The sequence below is a fragment of the Homo sapiens genome, chromosome 6, assembly GCF_000001405.40.
Source record: "Homo sapiens chromosome 6, GRCh38.p14 Primary Assembly".
NCBI lineage: Eukaryota > Metazoa > Chordata > Mammalia > Primates > Hominidae > Homo > Homo sapiens.
This window is the reverse complement of record NC_000006.12, coordinates 135,008,725-135,026,506: the sequence shown is the minus strand read 5'-3', so window position 1 is coordinate 135,026,506 and position 17,782 is coordinate 135,008,725. Positions and strand designations below refer to the sequence as shown.

At 35.0% G+C, this 17,782-nt stretch overlaps 1 protein-coding gene across 4 annotated transcripts in view; it reads left to right on the top strand.

The window, feature by feature from the left end:
• Positions 1–17,782, top strand: part of HBS1L (HBS1 like translational GTPase) — a 94,445-nt gene that overhangs the window by 28,316 nt on the left and 48,347 nt on the right. Inside the window, exon 5 of one of the 4 annotated variants that reach the window (NM_001363686.2) lies at positions 15,748–15,893. The exons of the other annotated variants lie outside the window; for them this stretch is intronic. The gene's annotated coding sequence lies outside the window, so the exon portion shown is untranslated. The remainder of the gene's footprint in view (positions 1–15,747; positions 15,894–17,782) is intronic. 4 annotated transcript variants of the gene reach the window in all.

Genomic DNA, 17,782 nt, shown 5'->3' with positions numbered 1-17,782 from the left:
GTCTGTCATTTTAAAAAAAGTTGTTGTCTTTTATATTTACATATTTTGATACGATTTGTGTTTGTTTTTATCTTTGTGTGTTCTTTGATAACTTGGAAATTTTATAGTTTATTTTTATCATGTAATAACATACTTTAACTTTTTAAATTCACCAACTTTAAACAATGTATATTGATCTCTCACTGTTAAAAATGGAGATGTGAACATTTACAATTTACCCCTTTTCTATTTCTCATTAATTTTGTTAATATTTTAAATTCTTAGGTAAGGTGTTCACCTTTACACCTTTGATAGTATATTTAAACTTCTGTTAACTGAATTTATTAGCTTTTAAACAATTATTTTTTTAAACAATTTATTAAACAGTTTTTAAAAACAGTTTATTAGTTATTTTTAAAGTGATTTTGTGGCCTATATTTGCATGACAAATTGAAAAGAATAGTTTAGCATTACTCTTTCTTTCCTGGAGGACTTTGCAGCTGTTGCTCTACTGTTTTCTATTGTTGCATGTTGCTAACTAGCTACCTCGATTCTGCCACCTCCAGTGCGGCTTTTATTTCTACAGAGTTTCCCACTCTCCCTCTGTTCTTCTCCTGAGCCCTGCTGGCTTACTTTTCAATTTTTCCTCCTATTTGTTTTTATCATCTTTATTTTATCCTGTCTTTCTTTTTCCAAGCTCTTCTGTCAGAGGCTGTATTTTCTTTGCTATATTTGATATCATAAAACTTCAAAAACCCTGTCTTTTTCTTTTTACATTCAACTGTTATATATTCTTCATCTACCTTGTTTTCCTCCATATTTATTCTTAGAGTATCTACCTATAGCTTCTATGTCATGCCCTCTTTGAATATTTGAAAAGGGAGGGATTTCTTTTTTGACAGCATTTTATAAAGAATAATGGGAGGGGTGTGGTGACTGAGCTCGGACCACCTTGTACTCTCGAACTTGCTGTTTATCCTTAGGTCATGTTGCAGCAGTTTTGTCAGCATTGTCAATTTTGTCTCTGAGGCAAAACAGAAGCAGTGAAAGGCTAAGTGAAATTCTCTTCAGAAGGTTTTTATGATTTCCTTGCTTGGTGTGGATGGGTTCTGAGATTCTTCCTTAGCCTTCACTGTTGCTATTTTCTTGATGACTCTTTTGTTGGGTCCTTCAGAGGTACGCCTCCAACTTTGGAGAACTCTGGCTTCTGGACAGAATCTGGAGTCCTATGTTTCTCATGTGCTCTCAGTTTGATCCACATTTCTGTTTGGTAAGAAGTTCTTCATAGTTTGTGCTTTGGTGTTATGACTGTTTCCTACTTTTTTGAAAGTACAGTTTTCTGTTTTTCTTGCTCTCTTTCGGGAAAATGGGATGGGTGTTTTTTGGAAGAAGATTGGGATAGAAACATCTTTGCATTGGCTCTTAAACTGGATGTATTTTTCCAAGGGCACTTGTTAGATTAGATACCCCCTTTTCAACTGTGAAACTAGAGTGATCTGAGAGGCTTGTGATAATTTCTTTCTTAGTATGTGATACAGCAGGCCTTGTCCTAAAGATTTAGGAGCTTACGTATAATGGTTCCAGTATCATGTCAACTTGATGCCACTAAGCATTCCGGAAGAAGATTTCTCTTTTTTCCCCCAATTCAGAGCAATTTTTAGTATTTTAATATATTTATAGTTTTGGAATGTGAACTTCTTAGTATTTACATAAAATTAGCCTCTTCTGGTAATAAATTAGAACTAACTTCTAAAATAATATACTAAATGTTAACATATCTTAATTTAGACAACATTTTAGTTCATTTTGTTAACAGCAAATACATATAACCTTAAAATGTTATTTTATAATTATGTTATACATTCCCATGAATGAACTGCTAAAAAGGCGCATATTTGGGTAATAAAATTGTGGAATAATCTTAGTTTTCTGATGTTATTTCCCTTGCCACCTTAAACCTACCAAGAAAAAAAAAAAACACCCCCAAGAGTATAAAACTGAGTAACACAAACTCTTCCACAGGAAAATTCAGAAATTAAAATTCATACATCATTCTTGTTTTGTGTTTTTTTTTTTTTTTTTTTTTTTGAGACGAAGTCTCACTCTGTCACCCAGGCTTGAGTGTAGTGGTGCAATCTCGGCTCACTGCAAGCTCTGCCTCCTGGGTTCACGCCATTCTTCTGCCTCAGCCTCCGGAGTAGCTGGGACTACAGGCACCCGCCACCATGCCTGGCTAATTTTTTGTATTTTTAGTAGAGACAGGGTTTCACCATGTTAGCCAGGATGGTCTGGATCTCCTGACCTCGTGATCCGCCCGCCTCGGCCTCCCAAAGTGCTGGGATTACAGGCGTGAGCCACTGTGCCCGGCCCATCATTATTGTTTTAAGGGACCCTTTTCTCAGAAAAATATTATTTATGGATTAAAATTTTATAATTAGTCAACTGGAAGATAGTTTTCAACAGAGTAGATATTATTATGTGGAGCGAGGTTTCACTCTTAACGATTCCTATTGAGGCTTTTTCTACCACTGGATTAATTTTATTTCATTGAAAAAATAGTGTTAAAAAAAAGTGAGCATTGAGAAAAATAGTTGGTCTAAAAATCTGGAAAAAGTATCATGTATAATTTAAATTGGACATTTTTTACAGTTTTCAAAATTGATATTTCCATTGCCTCACAAATAAAGTAGCTGATAAATGTTTATACTAATCAGATCATTAAGATGATTGTTTAAAAGTATTGCTTGGTTTGAAGAAATATATTTTATAATTGAGCTACTATTTTTGACAAGGTGTGCTTTGTAATAGTGGTCTACCTATACTGGTTAGAAACCTGTTATATATCATTTTCCTTTTCTTTTGAATTTTATCTAGTTTTCCCTTCAAATAAAGCTTTTATTTAGAAAGTAAAGCCTAATTTTATATGATGAGGTTATATTCTTTCTAGCATTGTTTTGCCATTTCATAGTGTTAATAATCTGTTAAACTTTACATAGTATGTCTGTATGCAAATATCTATTTAATATTATTTATATCTCAGGTGATGATTATCATACTTTTGGTTCTTTTGTTGTTGTTGTTTTTGAGATGGAGTCTCGCTCTGTTGCCCAGGCTAGAGTGCAGTGGCGCGAAATCGGCTCACTGCAAGCTCCGCCTCTGGGGTTCACACCACTCTCCTGCCTCAGCCTCCCAAGTAGCTGGGACTACAGGCGCCCGCCATCACGCCCGGCTAATTTTTTGTATTTTTAGAAGAGACGGGGTTTCACCGTGTTAGCCAGGATGGTCTCGATCTCCTGACCTCGTGATCTGCCCGCCTCGGCCTCCCAAAGTGCTGGGATTATAGGCGTGAGCCAGTGTGCCCGGCCACTTTTGGTTCTTAATGGCAGGTTGTTCCCTATTCTTCAGTAGGGAACTTCAAGAAGTTTAAAAAAAAAAAAGATAAAGAACAGCCATAAACAATTTCCCTAAGATCATTTTTTTCTACTTGTTTATTTTGCTGTATTTGTCTTTCTCTTAGATATCATCACTATGTATCTCATCAGTAAATGGGAAACATAGTAACATTTGATTTTTATGAGGAGATGCAACCTCTTTTTTTTTTTTTCCTGCTTAGGTCAAATGTATTATGAGATTTTATCCTTATCCTGGAAATAAATCCTGTGATTAATTTGAAAAGTTTATGTTACAAAGAAATATGAGATATTATGAATACTACTAAATCTATATGAACTTTTCAATAATGCACTTAAAATGCATCTTTTAATCCTTTTTAGTAGATTGTTAACAGTCATATTTAATGCATCTTTTTTGGTTTTCCCTTTTAAATATAATTTTCAATGAAAATATTTTTTCACTAATTTATTCATCACTGAGTATTTTTATTTAGACAATTAGGAGAATTTTATACTTATACAGGTAACCAGAATTAATTGGCTTTCTGCTTAAAATTATGTGGGCTTTGTAAAGGAAGTGGTTTATTTCAGTGAAAAAGCTTTAGTTCAGAATGTTCTCAGCTATGTTTTAAGATTCTCTTTGTATGTACACCTACACTGGAAAAACTGAAACACTAATTGCTTAATTTAAAAATAATTTGCTTTAGACTCTCAAAACTGTGTATCTTCATGAACAGCTGATACCATCTATGAATTACATGAATGTTAAATATAGAGTCTTCTTTTGACATTAATTACCTTGCTTTTTTTTTTTTTGACCTTACAAATTCTAATCACATGTATATTTGTATATACTTTCTTGTTTTATTCTAAGGCAATTATACATCCTTTTAGTAAAAAATTATTTTTACTGCTTTTAATGTGCTAGATATTACTAAGTACTTTAGCCAAAGAATAGAATGAAGGGAGAGGACAAATAAAATTCAGCTTAGCCAGCATTTATTGCATGTTCCTTTTTTTAAATTAGAAAAACGTGCTAGGCATAGGGGACATAAAACTGAGGTACAAACTTTCCCCTCGAGTTTTAGAGTAGCTCGTAAGGGGCTAGGTCTCTGATTTAATAGAAGTACCTATATGGCCAACTGCTTTCAGTCTGAATATGGTATCTGCTGCTTTTTCTTGGTTGTCTGTAAAGCTTTCTGTTCTGGGAGCTACCTCTCAAGGGGGGATAGGAAGGTGAATTAACATTTTGAATATCAGCTATGTGTCAGGCTTTGTATATGTTTTATTTGGTCATTATAAGAACCTTTAAGGTGAGGCTCATATAAAATAAATAAATTGCCTAATTTTACGTAGGTGTTAAGAAGCCAGTTGTAATTTGAACAGAGTTCTTTGAATCTCCAGTGCCCTTTTCATTGTTGTACATTACTTTTCTTGCAACAAACTTTTATTCTGTAACAGTTTAATCTTGTTAAGTGATAAGCATCGTAGGGATAAAATTGAATCCATTGTCAAGGAAACCAGCTTTATCATTAGTAAGGTATTTAAAAATTAGGGCTTTTTTTCTGCTAGTATTATTTAACCGAGACTTGTCATTCATGTATAGAGAATTGGTATCAGTTTCTAAATCCTGCAAATTAGCAGTCCTAAGAAATGAAGTCATTTGCTAGTCTGTTTAAATTTCAGATGACTTTGTGGTCTTTGGATTGTAAAACAACAATTCAGTTTGATTTAAAATACTGTATAATTTAGTTTATTAATATTTGCCTGCTTGGTGCCTTTGTAAGTACCAGCTTAAATAATATTGTTTATTGAGAACCAATTTAAGAGAAAGTACATGCCTAATCCTATGGAATCTAGAATTATGTAGCATTTTGATGCATTTAAGCAGTAATTGTAGGCAATATTAATGAGTACTTTACACCAAATGTACTAAATTCTTTATATCTGCTAACACTTAATATTCATAATAATCACATAGAATAGGGATTATTTTTATCCTAGTTTTATAGTTGGAGGATCTGAAGCTCCAGAATGTGTAAACATCTTCCCCAAGACCACAAAACCAGTAAAGGATAGAACCAGCATTCACAGCAATATGTTTCTAATACTGAAGTCTTCATTTTTATACTTTGTGTGTGTTTCTACATATTAGAGTATATTAGTCCTTTTTTTTAAGTGGTCACCTGCCTTTTTGAAAAAACCCATTTTAACTTAATCATGTGCAACATTAAACAACTCTTCATTTTGCCCTCCCCCTAGTTTCTGACAACCACACATAGACCCTTTTTAATACCGATAAATTTAGATTTCATAGTATTCCATTGTCTAGCTGTCTGGTTATTATAGGAACTTAAGTCTTTCAATTTATTATATAAAAGATATGATTTTAGAGTGGAATTGCTGGATGAAAAGGGATGGGCATTTTTAAGACTTATAGTACATATTGTACATATAGTACTTTTAGCACACTTCTTCAGAAAGATTATACTAATTGTTAAATTTAATTATTATTCATAATAGCATTGATAGTGTTATTTCATAAAGGATAATTATACTCCACTGAAGGATTTTGTATTTGTATTGAAGTTTTCATTCATTGACAGTGGATAAAAGATAAATTATGCAGTTTTTCTTGGGCCTGTTTATGGCAATTACCTTGTGTCCCTGAAAATTGTGTCCCTAGTGCATTGAACATGCTGTTATAGGTTGGCATTGCCAAAAATACCATTTATCCATGAGAAAATAATGTCTACCTTACAAGTTTCTGAGAAGTAAAATAACCCATATGATGCAGTTGTCATAAGGTCTTGCTCATGGAAAATGCCCAGGAAATGATCATTGAACTTAGTTCAAAGAAATAGTGTTCTTTTATTACCACTTAAGGAGCAAATGCTGTTAAAAAGTGGATTATTATGTTAAAGTCTAATGAATTGAGGTACTCAAGTTACTTCCACTGATTTTTTTTTTTTTTGGAGGGTTTTTTTTAATCATTCATAATGTTTTTATATAGGCCCTTTTACCTGTTGCCCCTTTCTCCATTTAGCCATTTCAACAGTCTGATATATATTCTTTCACATAACCATTTATAAAAATAGACACATACATATAGGGATTTTTGATTATGCTTTTGTAAATAAAAGGCCTATTATATTTTTCATTTTCCTTTTTTCCCCATAATACACTGTCAAGCTAGATCAAACTACAATAGTTATACATCTACATAGCAGTCCCTAAACAATATTAATTTCCTTTTCCTTTATTAATTGCTTTAAAATTCATTATATTTGTTACTATGGAGTTATTTCTGGATATTGGTGCCATTACTAAGTCTTCTTAAGCCATCTTGCTCACACATGAATTCAAAATGGTGTTTGGAAATAATGTATTATATCTGGAGATATACAATGATCTTATTGTATGTCTTTTTTAAAACTAGAATTTTTTTAAGGATTATTCAAATGGAGTAACCTCTCCCTGTCTTTAAGGTCATGTTTCTGAAAATCCCAAAGGTAAAATGTATTAAAGAAGTTGAAGACTAGGTTGAAATAAGGATTACGCCGAATCTATGAAGGCCTGTGTATGTGTATTCTATTGTCACTAAAAACAGTGTGTGGCACCTAAATATACAGAATATTAATAAATTTTGATGCCTTTTAAATTTGATTAATACAGTTTAATTTTCATTTATCATCTCTGATTCTAGAACCCTTGAAGTTTTCAGTAAGGTCCTTATAAACCTTTTTTTCCTTATTTCAGCTCATGCATACTATGAAATTTTTATTTCTCCTGAACTTTTTCTTGTCTCCAAGTGTGCACTATTTTTCTGATTTTTATGACCAGAGTTGATTCTCACTGCTAGTTTCCACATTAATTTAGAAGAGCACTGGTACTTGTGTTAGACTGCTTGGATTTAGATTTCAACTGAACCAACTACTAGCTGTGTGGCCTTTAGCAAATTACTTAACACTATGCCACAGTTTCCTCATTTGCAAAAGTAGGGTTATAGTTCTTATTTTTTCTGGTGGTTGCAATGCTGAATGAGCCATTATAGCATATATTAAGTCATTATAGCATTTCTTGGTGCGTGGTTGGTACTTACTCAATTTAGATTATTCTGCATTGCTGAGGAGATATTTCTCAAATACACATTCCTAGCTTTGCTTATAAATAATATGCCCAAGCTTAGGACAGAAGAATTAATGTGATTTATTAGGGAGGGACGCAAGGGTAGATAGTTCCAGGGATGGGGATATAAATGAGATCTCTCAGAGAGAGTTTGGGATAAATGAAAGAGAAGTCCTAGGGCAGAATGGTAAAAAAACACCAATGTATTTGTTTAGTGTGGGTTTTTTTCCTTGTTATTTTTTGAAGGTTGTATACTGTTTTCATTCTGTAAAGCAAAAAGGCCTTGTTTTGTAGGCTGTCCTATTTCTAGTCCAACAAAGTTTTCAGTCACAGTAATAATATTTTCAAATAAAATATAAATCTCCTTTTTAAAGGAAAATTATTAGTAACAAGAATTCTTAGTGCTATAGAATGGTCATAATATGATAATTTAAATTCATTGCATGTATTAGATTATAAATTTTGCATATACTACCTCAACGTATATAATCCAATGTAATATGTAGATTGAATTTATTTAAATGTCTTTGTTTTAAAAAATTGCTGGTTCAGTGTTATTTACATAAAATTGAAATCTGGTCTCAGTGAATCTTTTAGGTTGTTTTCTTCTAGTGTGATAGGAGGCTGGATGCTTTATAATGGATTTGATGAGGCAAGTTATGCTATAAAGCTGCTTTAAAGTGAGAAAATAATTCATAACAAATAAATCACAGCCAATGCAACAGTGCTATTGAAGGAAGTGGTTTATTCTCCATAGCCGAGGTGGTGTACTTTCTGAATGTACATCTGGTAACTAGAATTTAAATGTTTAGTCAGATTCAGTGAAATGATTTCATATTTTAAGTAGTGTTTTTTTCATTGGAAATTTAGCACTGATTTCTTTGAAATTTTGAAAATCTTAATTTGTGTGTGTGTACGTGTATCTGTATGTACTGGCATATTGAAACATTTATAGGAAAAATAGCAATTGATGGCAAAAGTGTACGTACCTGGAAAACCCCTGTTTTTTTTTTTTGTTTGTTTGTTTGTTTTTAAATAAGCTTGAATGTTGTTTTCACCAAGGCATTTTGATCTGAATGACTTTAAATTGTGAATTTGTCTTAGATTAAAAATCTGTTGTGAATTTGTTTTGAATGTTTCTAAGCCATATAAATATAAAAAAATTCCCCATTTTGAAATCTTTCAGATCACCTTTTCACAATGTCAGAGTAATATATTAATGTAATAAAAGGGAAAAAGGTCACTCATGATTTTCTTACCTTGAGATAACATAATTTATCTTTGCCTTATTTTTTCAGTTTTTGTCTATGCGTTTCTATTCTTTATGTTGTTAAGGTTATATTATACATACATTTCTGTATCCTATATTTTCCTCCTTTTCTTTATATATTTTTAAATGTGGAATAAATTTTTAGATTTCAATTTGATTCAGAATACTTCCAAAATATTGATTAAGAGTTATAAAGGCATTTTTAATTTAAAACAAAAACTAGTGTTCTACATTAGTGTTTCACATCTCTAGAGATACTAATTAAAATTGAAATTACTTAATGCCACAAGTTTACTTTTAAAAATTCTCCCTTGTAATATTTCTTACATTCAGTTGAGGATTTTATGTGAAGAAAGAAACCGAACTTGATGGTTTGGATTGCATTTAAGAACATTATCCCTAGGCAACAGTTTTTATTAACTAGTACCCTATTTTATGTCAATGATAGTATTAAAATGTTCAAACATCTTGCATTTGATGTCATTTAGAGATAAATGATCTATCTGTATGGGGGAGCGATTAGGATTATAAGGAGATAAACCTTAAAAGGCCATCTGGTTTTCTGATTTCAGGCAGGTCTCCAAACATCTTTTTAGTTAGGAACCTGAAACCAGTCAACACTAGGTGTAGGTGATTATTAATTTGCAAATAATGTTAAACGGGTGTGAACAAATTGTTTAATTTACGTGAGCCTGACTTCTTTATCTGTAAAATTAGTTTTATACCAGATAAATAGTTCTAAATCTTTTTTTCTGTCCCAGGACACATGAGAGAACACTTGTCAGCATCAGTGTCTCCTAGTGACAGTGCTTTTTAAAAGGGAGGAGCAAGGATGTCCCTGTTATTTTAATCTACCTGTTCCTCCCAAGCTGAGAATCACTGGGTTAGAGAGTATGTTCCTTTTCTTCATAAATAAATAATTTTATTAAATATTTCAGTGCCTAATATGTACCAGGCACTGGACTGGATATTGTAAAATATATCATAAAATAAACTTCTGGAACTCTTAGTTTAGTTGAAGAGGTAAGGCACTATATATTTTACAATATAGACAGAAAACAGTATATGCTACATGAGAATATGCAATAAAGGCTTGATATGCAAGTTACATCATTTTGGTCTGGAGCTATTATTTTTAGCAATTTGAGATTATCATGTGTGACTTAAAGTTGATAGCATCATGTTGTGATGTATGCTTTAGAGCCTGAATATACCTTTCTCACCTCCCCAAATCGGCATTCACAGAATGTTAAGTGGACAGTATCCAGGTGTTTATTATTAAAGGAAGATTAGCCTAGCCTTCAGGTTCCCCATTGGAAGTAAAAATTGTAGTAAACGGAAACTTTCTCTTTGTTAAGCAGAAAATGAACTAACTGCTAGGCTTTAACTATGTATATTAGGACATTCTGAAATGCAAACATTAAACCTAATCAGAATAATTGGTTTTAACATTAACTGTTATTCAGAAGTATCTGAGTAGATGTTAATGATGGTTAACCTCACTTAAACTCACAAAATCGTGATCTGGACAAAGCATTAATATTTTTAGAGGGGCTGGGCATGGTGACTCCGGCCTGTAATCCCAGCACTTTGGGAGGCCAAGGTGGGCGGATCACCTGAGGTTGGGAGTTCGAGACCAGCCTGGCCAACATGGTGAAACCGCATCTCTTCTAAAATACAAAAATTAGCCGGGCATGGTGGCAGGCACTTGTAATTCCTAGGTACTTGGGAGGCTGAGGCAGGAGAATCTCTTGAACCCAGGAAGGCGGAGGTTGCAGTGAGCTGAGATCATGCCACTGCACTCCAGCCTGGGCAACAGAACAAGACTCCGTCTGGAAAAAAAAAAAAAAAAAAAGGCTGGGCTCGTTAGCTCATGCCTATAATCCCAGCACTTTGGGAGGCTGAGGTGGGTGGATTGCTTGAGCTCAGGAGTTCAAGACCAGCCTGGGCAACACAGCGAAACCCCATGTCTACTAAAATACAAAACAATTAGCTGGGCGTGATGGCGTGTGCCTGTAGTCCCAGCTACTGGGGAGGCTGAGGCAGGAGAATTGCTTGAACCCGGGAGGCAGAGGTTGCAGTGAGCCAAGATCACGCTACTGCACTCCAGCCTGGGCAACAGAACGAGACTCTGTCCCCCAAGAAAAATAAATAAATCAGTATGTGTGTGTATATTTACATTTAGAGGCACTTTGTTGGCAGTTTTTGTATACATTCAACTTCAAAATCACCCTGCTTCAGTTACCTTGGGAATACCACTTCCATGAGGTCCTGAGATTTAGAGGACAGAGAGTGGAAAGGGGAGGGTGCCGTGGAAGCAACCTAGAGAACACCAGAGCGAGAACTCCACTAATCAGCCATGTGAACTTTGGAATCTCACTTAAATTTTCATCTGTAAAATGATGGACAAGACCAAATGACCTCTAACATATGGCTCTCCAACTGTATGATATGTGAATCTCAATTCTATGTAAGGATTCTATGAGGAAGGTAAATACTTGTTTTCAGCCTCCCTCTCTATTGAGTATTAAGAGTTCCTTCATTGGCTGCCTTCTCATTCTTCATTTTCGATAAGCAATCTAGGTCTTGAATTGCTTCATGTGTTTTAATGTTGGTAAACATTCCTGTAAACCTGATTATCCAACTGTTTTCTATGGATTTCTATCTGTATGTCTGGGTTGTTTTTTGTTTATTTGATTTTTTGAGACAGGGTCTTGCTCTGCCGCTCAGGGTGGAGTACAGTGGCATGATCTTGGCTCACTGCAACCTCCGCCTCCCGGGCTCAAGCAATCCATCTTCCTCAGCCTCCCGAGTACCTAGGACTACAGGCGTGTACCACTATGCCCAGCTAATTTTTTTGTGGTTTTTTTTTTTTTTTTTTTTTTTGTAGAGACAGTTTCTCCGTGTTGCCCAGGCTGGTCTTGAACTCCTGGGCTCAGGTGATCTGCCCACCTCAGTCTCCCAAGGTGATGGGATTACAGGCATGAGCCACTGTAGCCGGCCTCTATCTGTATGTCTTAAAGGAATCTCTGACCAAATGTGTCTATATTCATGAACAGTGTCTAGGTTAGAGTCATAGCAGTCATTGAGGTTCCTATGTTTTGCCTTCCTAAGATTTAATTAATCTCCATGTTCTATTAATGTATTGACTCTCATGTCTGTTCCTTCTTACTCATTTCCGGTACTATAGTACTTGTTCAGCTGCAGTCACAGTGGTTGTGGTCTCCTAGAAACTTATCTTAATTTCTCTGTCTCTTTTTTTCGTTTCATCTTATCGTACTGTTCATCACATCTGTTAGAATGAAAGCTATCTAAAAACAGTCTGTCACTCACCTTTGTGTCCTCAGTGCCAAGAACATGCTATAATTTAACCTGAAAAACTCTGAAGATCCAAGATCGTATCTAGGCAGTCTTTCATAAAATAAAATTTTTGGTGACAGTTTCTGCTTAGGAGGAGGAAGCAGAGTTCCTTTATGGACTGTTGTAATTTTGTGCTGAATGAAAGGAGTAAGAGAAATAAGATTCTGACCAGCAGACTTCTCTTAGTTTCCTGGAAGGTATTTCCTGTTTGTTCATGGCATCACCATCTACCCTTTCTTTCTTGGCAGAAAATCTGAGGACTGTCCTTTCTCTCATCTCCTCTGTTCATTCAGATATCAAGGATTCATGATTTTACCTTGTACACTTGTCCCTTGTTTCCTTGGGTTTCGGCTCTGGTACCCCCCTCCATCAAGCATCTGCTGATGCTTAAATCCCTGATATAAAATGTCATCGTATTTGCATATAACCTATGCATATCTTCCTGTATACTTCTACATCATCTGTAGATTACTTTTTTAAATTACCATTACATGAAAAGGAATCTAGATTATAAGTAATCTAGATACCAAATACTATGTAAATAGTAGTTAAATACTTATTTGTAAATTTTTTCAAATATTTTCAATTTGTGTTTGGTCTAATCCATGGATGCAGAACCCAAGGATATGAAGGTCTGACTGTAATATCTTTTAAAGTAAAGTCTCTTAAATATTCCTTTCTCTATCTCCATTGCTCTTAGATCACTGTAGAATTTCTTACATGTATTTGTACAACAATCTTCTAACTGCTTTCCTTTCAATCTTGCCTCCACAATCCATTTTCTATTCTGGGGTCAGAGTAAGTTTTAAAAGTATGATATGTTTCTCCAACGCTTAAATTCCTTCAGTGGCTCTTATGTTTCAAGATCAAGTGAAATATTAGACATGGTTCTAAATGAGTTACCTGCTTTTCTAATCTTATGTCTCACCACATTCTTGGGTCTGTTTATTTCAGTACCTAGCTCAGTGTCACACAGTTGGCATTTCTCGCCTTCCCTTCATGAATGAATATGTGATAGGTAGAGAGTAATTTGTGTTTGTAAATGTCCTGGTATCACATGAGAAAAAGAAGTTGGCATTTTGGTGACTGGCAGAGACCCACGGACTGTGTGCTTTCATATGTGCCAGTCATTACATGTACTTTACATGTATTGGCTCATTTAATTCTCAGTTCTCCTAACATCTTTGTTAGGCAGATACTATTATTTTATGGACGAGGAAACTAGGCATAGAGAAAAGTTGAGTGATTCACTTGAGGTCATGCAGTGGCAAGGCCTGGCTTCAAACTCAGGTTGTGTTGCAGCAGAGTCTATGTCTTATCTACTAACCTAACTGGCTGGTGAATTGGAGGCATTTGGTGTGGAAAGCTTGTTGGGATTCTCCTTTGAGGGTATGAAAAGTATGCATGTAACTTTATATGTGCTTTATTCTGTTGGTAATTACCTCAGAGGCTCTCAGTAAATCTTTGTGAAATGAATCTAAGAGTCTTTCTTCATACATTGCTGGAGTTGGCCTCTGTGATTCATGCATTACCAAGAAGCCATGGCTTCCTTCTGTTAATAATCACAAATCTTGGCACAATAAAATTAAAGTATAATTTTCATGAAAGTAGTGGCTTTTGCATGAAACATGGAAATAGATGAGCCATGGCCATGCATGTGAGAAAACAAGAGTGTTTATGTCAGGGATTTTCAGTCTGTTTATGGGAGTTTGCAAGGAAGAGGTGGATCTTGAGGGGTAAATTGCGGTCGTGTTAAAGACTAAATTTACAAGTAGATTTTTTCTGTACAGAGCTACAGAGTATATTTTATTAGCTGAGATGATGAAAACCCTAGTGGACAGAAGTAGAACATGGTTTGAGGAGCTAGAGATAGAAAGCAGAGACACCATATCAGATACTACAGGCACAAGTCATTTTTATTATAAAAATAATATACAGTCATTGTAGCATAGAAGTATATAAAGTTTGAATTGAAAAGTCAACTTCTCTCTTGCCTACTGTCACTCCCTAGAAGTAATCACTTTAAAAAGCATGCACTTTTTAATGCCGGTTGCATAGTGATATGATATAGGACCATTGCTATATTATATTTTAGTTGTTTTTTTCTACTTCATGTGTCATAGTTATCTTTTCATACATGTAGGTCTTCTAATTCTATATCTGTAGCATACTATTCCATTGTTTGGATACATCATAACCATTCCCTTATGTACATCTACAATTTTTTGTCATTACATATGGTAACACAGTGAACAATATCATTCATATACTGTTGCACATTAGTGTTAATGTTTCTATAGGCCATATTCTCAGAAGTATGGTGTACATAGCAACATTTTTTTTTTCCCCTTTCCTCTGCCACACCTTTGACTTGTGTTTATTGACCTGGCCCATTTATTGTTCACTTTCTTTTTCTGAGGAGTTTTTTTCTCACTAGTTTGTAGGAACTCCTTTTTTTTTTTTTTTTTTTTTAAGACAAGTTTCGCTCTTGTCACCTGGGCTGGAGTGCAATGGCACAATCTTGGCTCACTTCAACCTCCGCCTCCTGGGTTCAAGTGATTCTCCTGCCTCAGCCTCCCGAGTAGCTGAGATTACAGGTGCGTGCCACCACGTCTGGCTAATTTTTGTATTTTTTAGAAGAGATGGGGTTTCATAATGTTGGCTAGACTGGTCTCGAACTCCTGACTTCAGGTGATCCACCCACCTTGGCCTTCCAAAATTCTAGGATTACAGGTGTGAGCCACCGCGCCCAGCCAGGAACTCTTTATTGTATATATTAACTAACCCCTTGCATATATTTTCCTCACATATTTTATGCTCACTTGTGGTATCTTTAATCAGGGAGAACCTTTTTTAAAGAGACAATGCCTCGCTCTGTTGTTCAGGCTAGAGTTCATTGGCACAATCATAGCTCACAGCAGCCTCAAACTCCAGGGCTCAATTGATCCTCCCATCTCAACCTCCTGAGTAGCTAGGACTACAGGTGCATGTTAATACGCCCAGCTAATTGAAAATTTTTTTGTGTGTGTGGAGACAGGGTCTTGCTTTTTGCACAGGCTGGTTTTGAACTCCTGGCCTTAAGCGATCCTCCCACCTTGGCCTCCCAAAGTGCTGGGATTTGTAGGCATGAGCCCCTGCGCCTAGTCAGGCAGAAATTTTTATAACAAATTTGTATATCTGTCTTACCTGAAGTCCCTATATTTTTATGTTTTTCTCTTTGCTTTACGTTTATATCATTAATCAATAAGGAATTTATATATGATATGCTGTATATATGATAGAGCCTTTTCTCCAAATGAATTGCCAGTGTTCCCAGTATAATGTGTTGAATAACCCATCCTTTCCCCATTGATTTGAAACACTTCTGCATATACTGAATTTGTATTTATAACCACATATAATGTATAAATTCCTATATATTTTTCCATATACTTAATTCCTGTTAATTCCTATATATAACATTCATGTAAATATAGTTCTACTAATTGGATTATTTGCAGATGCCCTATTCTAATTCATTGAATTAGATATCTGGTATCTTGATATCTGGTAGTTCAACTCCCCCATTATTATTCTTAGTTTATTTTATTGGTCATTCTTTTACATTTACTCTTCCAGATGAACTTCAACATCAACTTGGCATTTTCCCCCCCAAAATAGTCCCATTGGATTTGTTCTACCAGATCATTCTTAATTTGTTATGTACTCTTGAAACTTACCTGCATGACACTTAAGCAAATAAAAAACACTGAGTTCAAGCCAAGGTAAGGTACTTTGTGATACTATTTATCTATGGCTAGATACATATTTATTGTAGTACTTCTTGATCCTATTATCACCTAAAATCATTTTAAAACTAAAAGAGGTTAATAGGTACAGAAATAGCCAGTAAAACCAAAAATTATCAGTAAACATATACTGATAACAAACTTCAGCCATTAAGAGTTTTCTTCCAAGGATATTATTATAGAAACAATAAAATAATTTTATAGAATAAAGGTCTGATTTTTTAGTTTTGTATGAGAATTTCTTAAATGCTTTTATGTATATGATATGTATTATATCATTGTGAGGTAGGTGGTACATTTTTCAGATGGGGTAAACTCAGTCTCTGAAATATCCGATGACTAGGTCAAGGCTCAAGTTCTGTGAATTGTCTGGTGGCCGAGCCTTGGATTTCTAGCGATAGTAGACTATTAGGATTGGTTGCCCTTGTGTATAGAAGATATCTATAGAATGTAAATAGGATCCTAGGGCCAAATCTTAGGGAATGCCTTATTAATGGTTTGGAAAAGGTAAGGAATTATAGAATGATGAGACACAGCAGCATATTTTATGGAGAAATCATCATCACATATAAATTTCTATGGTTTTTCTCTTCCATAATCTTAATTTGGCTTTCCTTATTTCTAAACAGTTTTACTAATTATCCTTCCAAAGAATATTTAGGCCGGGCACGGTGGTTCATGCCTGTAATCCCAGCACGTTGGGAGGCCGAGGCGGGCGGATCACGAGGTCAGGAGATCGAGACCACAGTGAAACCCCATCTCTACTAAAAATACAAAAAAAAAAAAAAATTAGCTGGGCGCAGTGGCGGGCACCTGTAGTCCCAGCTACTCGGGAGGCTGAGGTCGGAGAATGGCGTGAACCCAGGAGGCGGAGCTTGCAGTGAGCCGAGATCACGCCACTGCACTCCAGCCTGGGCAACAGAGCGAGACTCCGTCTCAAAAAAAAAAGAATATGTAATACTACTTCTGTTTTACTTTCTACTTATTAAATGAGAAAGGGAGTCCATGAACATAATCTGCAAAAGATCTTTTTTTTTGAAAAAAGCCATTTTTTTAAACTTTATATAGTCTTTAAAAGTATATTGATGAGTGCCCACATTTAGAATTTTTGCCCCACTGACCCCTGCTTATGCCTTTTCTCATATTATTTTTGCCTCCTCTTTATTACTTTTCAGTCAAATCAAATCTCATTTCATTTGTTAAGCCTTCTAGAATTACTCAGGTACATATTTTGAATTTCTCTTGCTTATTGCCTCTACAGCTCAGCTCAACAAGTTTTATAACTTGTCTCTCAGAATAGTGTAGAATACACTTTTTGATAATAGCACCATGTAATTCATATATATATATTTTAATTTAGCTATGTCACAGGCCACAGTTGTATGGCCTCTGGCAGATCAGCCTGTCTGAACCACAGTTTCTCTAAAGAAATGTAGGAGTAATTATACCTATTCTGTATGGTTGTGTAAAGGTAAACGACCATGTAAAGCACCTGGCTGAAGAGCATATGAGAGTGCCATGTTGGCTTTCTAGAATTTATATCTCAACTTTGGGAGGTAGCTGGTATGAAATGCAAGGAGTGAGTGAGTAAAGAGAGTAAATTGAGGAGGTTATTGCCATCTAAGATAACTTATAAAGACAATAGAGGTCACCTTGTAGTTTCACAATTTAAACCCTTAGGGATTAATCATTAAACTGTATTTATTGGTGGCTTACTGTAGGCAGAGCACTGTGTCATGTACTGTGGACTGCGTGAACGTGTAAGGCACTTCCTGACCCCTGACAGCTAGTATTCTGATAATGAGTGTGCTTAAAGACCAAAGGAATGAATCAGAAGAGCATAAATTGGGGATATGCAAGCAGAA